This window comes from Homo sapiens, chromosome 6, assembly GCF_000001405.40.
Source record: "Homo sapiens chromosome 6, GRCh38.p14 Primary Assembly".
Classification (NCBI taxonomy): domain Eukaryota; kingdom Metazoa; phylum Chordata; class Mammalia; order Primates; family Hominidae; genus Homo; species Homo sapiens.
In genome coordinates, this window is record NC_000006.12 from 24,640,095 (window position 1) to 24,646,509 (window position 6,415).

At 41.4% G+C, this 6,415-nt stretch overlaps 1 protein-coding gene across 20 annotated transcripts in view, besides 1 other annotated feature; it reads right to left on the bottom strand.

Annotated features, from left to right (window-relative positions):
- KIAA0319 overlaps positions 1-6,097 on the bottom strand; it is a 106,051-nt gene extending 99,954 nt beyond the window's left edge. For 8 of the 20 annotated variants that reach the window (XM_047419602.1, NM_001350404.2, NM_001350410.2 and 5 more), the window contains exon 1: positions 5,642-6,097. Coding sequence is in view for 1 of the 20 variants with exons in the window: in NM_001350404.2 (NP_001337333.1) it covers positions 5,642-5,678 (37 nt within the window). In the remaining 19 variants the exon portion in view is untranslated. Of the gene's footprint in view, positions 1-5,532 lie in introns of all 20 variants that reach the window. The other 12 variants (XM_017011546.3, XM_047419604.1, XM_017011550.2 and 9 more) reach the window with 2 other exon arrangements.
- Positions 5,942-6,151: a silencer, noted in NCBI's record as "silent region_16993". NCBI's record gives its function as "represses an Ori minimal core promoter by ATAC-STARR-seq in GM12878 lymphoblastoid cells {active_cell/tissue: GM12878}" and the evidence as "EXISTENCE:reporter gene assay evidence [ECO:0000049][PMID:35858748]".

The following is a 6,415-nucleotide window of genomic DNA, read 5'->3' on the forward strand; positions in this document are numbered from 1 at the left end:
AATAGTTGTATATATTTTGAGGGTATTTTGGTACATGCATACAATGTGTAATGTTACTAACTTTCAATTTTTTAAAGTAAATATGCATGTTAAAAATAAAACAGTCCCTTCTCTATAGAGGCTTCTACTATCCAGGAACAGGATAAGTGATGTTAAAAGGCATGCACAGTGAGCAAGAATGCCATCAGGGAAATAGAGATGAGATGAGGGCATTAGGGAAGCCTTCAACAACATGATGTTTAAGCTCTATCCTTAGAAATTAGCCATTTGTTGAAAAAATGCAATCCAGTCTGTGGGGACTGACTGTACATAAAAGGCATGGACTCTTGGAAGAGTTGGCATATTTTGAGTGGTTCCATATGGGTGTAATGTAGAATAGGTGTGGGTTATGATGAGATAAGAAGATGAAAAAAGGTAGACCAAGAAGAAATGTTAAAGAACTATATAGGTGACATTAAGAGATCTGCGCTTTATTTAGTAGGTGGTGGGGGCATATCGAAGATATTTTTTAAATTTTTTCATTGTGGTAAAATATATATAACATAACATTTACCATTTTAACCATTTTTATTTTTTGAGACAGGGTCTTGTTCTGTTGCCCAGGCTGGAATGCAGTGGTGCAATCATGGTTCACTGCAGCCTCAACCTCCTGGGCTCAAATGATCCTCCCACCTCAGCCTCCCGAATAGCTGGGATGACAGGCACATACCACCAAGCCCAGCTAATTTTTGTATTTTTTTGTGGAGACGAGGTTTCACCATGTTGCCCAGGCTGATCTCAACCTCCTGGGCTCAAGTCATCTGCCCGCCTCAGCCTCCCAAACCGCCGCAATTACAGGCATGAGACACTGCACCTGGCCCATTTTAACCATTTTTAAATATACAATTTAGCAGCAACCATCATCACTATCTATCTCCACAACTTTTTCATCATCTCAAACTGAAACTTTGTACCCATTAAACAATAACACCCCATTCCCACCTACTCCCAGTTCCTGGTAACCCTTATTCTTGTTTCTACGAATTTGACTACACTGAATAGTTCATGTAAGTAGGATCATACAATGTTGTTTGTGTCCAGCTTATTTCACTTAGCGTAATGCCTTCAAGGTTCATCCATGTTGCAGCATGTATCAAAATTTCCTTCCTTTTTAAGGCTGAGTAACATTCTATTGTGTATATTTAACATATTTTGTTTATCCACATATCCATCAATGGACATAACATTTAAAATTTATAACCAGGGGAGTAATGTGTTCATGTAACTGCTTTAGAAAGGTAACCCTAGAAGGAGATTAAAGGATACCACTTGCGAACCAAAAGATGAACCTGTTTCCAGAAAGTGCAAATGGTCAAACAGGTGGAAGAAGTCTAGTAAAATGAAGTCAGAAATGTCTCTAAGTTTGGGAAAAGCAGTTGTAGTATAGTAGGGGATAGGAAACATTGAAGACTAGTTAACCTAGTTAGCATGCTCAGAAACACATATCTGCATGGGAAGACCTTTCCTATACTACAATAAATTTTGAACATTTGGCACCTATGTTTAAGACAAAGAGGTTGAAGACACCAAATTAACAAAATATTTTAGCCTCTTAAGCAATACAAATATACTGAGAGAGATGGTAAAAACAGTTTTCTTGAAAATGAGACATCTTAGGCCTTGTATGGTGGCTGATGACTGTAATCCCAGCACTTTGGGAGGCGGAGGTGAGCAGGTCACTTGCGCCCAGGAGTTCAAAACCAGTCGGGGCAACATGGCAAGATCTTGTCTCTATAAAAACTATAACAATTAGTTGGGCTTGGTGGTATGCGCCTGTAGTCTCAGTTACTCAGGAGGCTGAGGTGGGAGGAGGCAGAGGCTGCAGTGAGCCAAGATCGTGGCACTGTACTTCAGCCTGGGTGACAGAGCAAGACCGTGTCAGAAAGAGAAGGGGAGGGGAGGGGAGAGAAAGGAAGGGGAGGGGAGGGGAGGGGAGGAAGGAGAGAGAGAAAGAAGAAAGGAAGGGAAGGGAAGGGAAAGAAGGAAGGAAGGAGTAGGGAGGGGAAGGGGAGGGAAGGAGGGAGGGAGGGAGGGAAGTAAGGGAAAGAAAGAAAGAGAGAAAGAAAGAGAAAGAAGGAAAGGAAGGAAGGAAAGAAAGAGAAAGAAAAAAAGAAAAGAAAGAAAGGGAAGGAAGGAAGGAGAGAGAGAAAGAAAGAAAGAAGAAAAGAAAAGAAAGACATTTTAAAGGGTTATTTTGAAAAAATTTTGAAGGTAACTCTGTTACAATGATTACAAGACAGTGCAGCTACACATCATGTACTTCATCTTAATGATGAAAACAAAAGATGGTAAGGTATGCTGACATAATCACAATCTTAGAATAACAGAACAGGATTGTGATCCTGGGAAGGGACAGCCCATACTTCCCCATCATCACATGAATAAACATCCTATCAACTGTAATGCTTAAAATGTATGGGTGTTATGGGTGGCAACGCTGGAGTTAATTTACCCTCCATGCTTATATTCTGATGCTTAATAGCATGGAATGACCCCAACTTTGAAAATTCATTTTTAGGCCTGAATTATCCTCTTATTCAAGCTACATTGCTTAAATTAAATAGATGCTTACTATAATCCTTTGCTGCATTTTTTTTTTTTTTGAATTAGAGTCTTGCTCTGTGGCCCAGGCTGGAGTGCAGTGAGGCAATCTGGGCTCACCGCAACCTCCGCCTCCCGGAGTTCAAGTGATTCGCCTGCCTCAGCTGGGATTACAGGCGCCCACCACTATGCCTGGCTAATTTTTGTATTTTTAGTAGAGATGGGGTTTCACCATGTTGGCCAGGCTGGTCTCGAACTCCTGACCTCAGGTGATCCGTCCATTTCGGACTCCCAAAGTGCTGGGATTATAGGCATGAGCCACCGCGTTCCCAGCCTCCTTTGCTTTTTTGAACTTAAGGAAAAGAATGACCAGCAAGTTGGCAGGCAGGATAATTCTACAATATTATTTAGAAGGAAAAATAACTAAAACTTGAACACTATTATCTTTACCTACTGGTGTCATTTAAGCAGCTCTACTTTAAAACTTAAACACCTACTGTTAAAAGACCCTGCAAAATGATGATGCCAGATGTTACTCTGGCTCAACCATTTTTATTGTTTAATACAAATAAATGAGAAAATATTTTCTTATTATTGAATTCACATGAATAGTGTCTAAAGGTACAGATTTTTAAAGACAAATAGAAAAATAACCTACACTATTCGGGTAATGGGTACACTAAAAGCCCAGACTTTGACACTACACAATATATCCACATAACAAAACTGCACTTGTACACTCTAAATCTATAAAAAAAATTTTAAAAACAAATAGAAAAATAACCTACCAATTATTCTAGGCCTACTAAAGCAAAGCTCCTTCCTTGGGGGTATTAAGCTACCAGAATATTAAATTGACATGATTTTATGATTTTGATTATTATATTTATTATTGTTGCTGTTATAAAGGTGCTGCAAGGAAAAATTTATGCATTTTATGATGATTTGATATCATAAATCAGAACAAGCTTTGGACATGTCAAAATAAATCTATTTTTTAGTACCAAATTATTTTTAAGGTATGAAAAATATTTCCTGAAAAAGAACACATCTCAAAAATAACAACACTTATTGAAGCGTTACTATTAAAACATGCCAGGCAATGAGCAAAGATCTCTTAAACATATTATTGTATTTAATTCTTACAGGAATTTCGTTAAGTAGGTCCCATTGTTATCTCTATTTTACAGGTGAGGAAACTGAGCCTTAGAGGGTTTAGAGAATTTGCCAAATGTGAGACAGCCACTAAGTGGCAGAGCCACGCCCAAACCCACACCCTCTGACCTGGCAATCTGCAGCACTCCGTTCCAGAAACGGGCATACCTGGCTCTACATACAGCAGTGCCTCAATAACATAGTTTCATTCAACGTTGGTGACAAAAAAATTCCTGGCCAGGGCCACTGTCTATGTGGAGTCTGCTCATTCTCCTCATGTCTGCGTGGGTTTTCTCTGGGCTTCGGTTTCCTTCACATCCCAAAGCTGTGCATATGTCTACATGGTCCCCGTCTGAGTGAGTGGGTGTGTCTGTGAAAGTGCACCCTGTGATGGGATAGCTTCCTGGACAGGGGAGAGGGGGGGGTTCCCACTCTGAACCAGGGAGACTCTGGCTACCCATGACCTTGAACTGTAATAATTGGGTAAATAATGATCTTGTTTTTACTAATCCTTCTTAACTGTATGTATAGATCCCATTTATTTCTATGTTTAATATTAGAAGTGTTGTGGTCTTTATTTAGAAGTTTGGTGATTTTTTTATGACCAGAAATATGCTGTAGGAACTTAACTCTTGTTTATATCAATTAGCCTGTGGTAAAATTGGTTTCCTTATACCTCGTTGTGCTTAAAGGTTCACAGTTTCCAAGAACGTATCAAGAATGTTAAGTGAGGACTTACTGTATTTATTTAAAGAGAATGCTTCCTATCTATTGGCTAGGGAAAAAAAAAAAGTCAAGAAAATTTAACAGCAACTCTATTCTTTTACATTCATACATTACCAAAGCTCTCTTTTGGCTATTTTTAATTCATAAAGATTTTGGCTGAATTATTTTCATTATTTCGAAACAAAAATTAAGTTCTTGCCTCGGCATTTTGCATTACAAATGCAAATGCATTACAAATGGTTAATACAAATAAATCAGAGTACTTAGGTAATATGTTTACATTTCCCTTTTTCAAATTACAGAGGAATTCACCTTTCTCTGTGACTCCTACGTCTATAACTGAACTGACACCTCCAGTTTTCCTCATCTGAATTAAAAATAATACTAAAAAAAGCACAAAATAAAAGTTTAGATTTGGCATAACTTTAGTAGTCTCTACAATTGTGGTCTTCTTATAATAAATTGAAGCATTTGGAAAGTGAGCATGTATTTCAGGAATAAAGAAATAAATACCAACATTTACTTCCAAAATTCTTGTGTGTGGGGGGGAACATTGTCTACAATTTATTTTTTCTGTTACTATCAAAAACATCATTCAACTTTTCAATTCAAGCAGTGGAAAAAATACTAACATTTCACCGACAAACAAAAATGTTTTGATGAACAAACCAGCAATAAAAGTGCACATGAGTATGTATATCATATTTTTCCTCCTTGTATTTAATTAACAAATGACCTTAAGATGATAACTCTCAAAATTTCAGGTTTATCCTCCCGATTAATTTGTGACATTCCTTGGAGGGAATTCAAAGGGAAGAAGAGAAAGATTTTAAGCTTCAGGTTATGGTAAGGAACAGAGACAAAATGCATTTAGCAAATAATAGGAAAGATCACATAAATAGTTCTGAATGAAGTTTAAAGAAAACGATTCCTTACTTCTAAAAAAATGCAATTCGTGAGGTTGGGAAAAGACACTCAAATTTCCCCGACTCCACCCTACTAGTCAACAATCAGTGCAGCAATCAAAAAATGCCCTTTCCTGAATGCCCAGAAGAATCTTAAGAAACTCACCTTCTGAACTCAGGGCGTCTCGATTCTACTTTTGTTGGGTATTGGCCTGCCTACTGGCTGCCCTCTTTCCTATTTCTCGGCCAGGCGCTCTGGGAAGTAGATACCGTACCTGTGGTCACTGCTGGCGACACTGAAGCTCGCCCCATGCGTTGCTGCTGGCCCTGAGCATCACTCGCCGTCCCACTTGTTCCTCCTCGTCGTCATCGCAGGTCTTACACACACACACACACACACACACACACACACACACACACACACACACGTTCACACCCTCGCGCGCGCACCTGCTGTTAAGAGGTACAGCCCCACCCCAGCAAAATCCTCGCTTCCTCTTCCCCGGGACGTAGCCCCAGAGGAGCGAATCTGGACCAAGCCCAAGACAGGCTGAAGCTACTGCTGCGCTCTCACCTCCGGCAGTGACAGCGAGCGCCGCCGCCGCTCTGCGCGGGGCCAGCCAGGCCCGCCGAGGGCAGCACAGGTGGAGCAAGGTTGCACCCCCGGGGGATCCCCGCCCACCGCCCGCGGCAGCTTCTGCAGGCTCGGGGAAAGCGCGCGCCAGTGATTCAGCGCCTTTCCGCCGCCGCGGTTACCACGGCGACGCGCGCGCACGCGCACACACGCCCTCAGGGATGTGGGGCGCGGCAGCCGCCCCTGCCCAGCTCCCCTGCTCAGCTCCCCTGCTCAGCTCCCCGGTTGCGCTCTAAGTACCCGCACCGGGGCGACACACTCCCACCCCGCAGGGGACCAAGCAAAAGTCTTTCGTGAACCTGAGCGGCCTTCATACCCTACCTGCTTTCCTTCACCAAGCCCTTCCCTGTCACCGTGGCCCTAAACAGTCTGGGGGATGAACACTCCTTCCAAATAAACACCCGGGCCAGGGTGG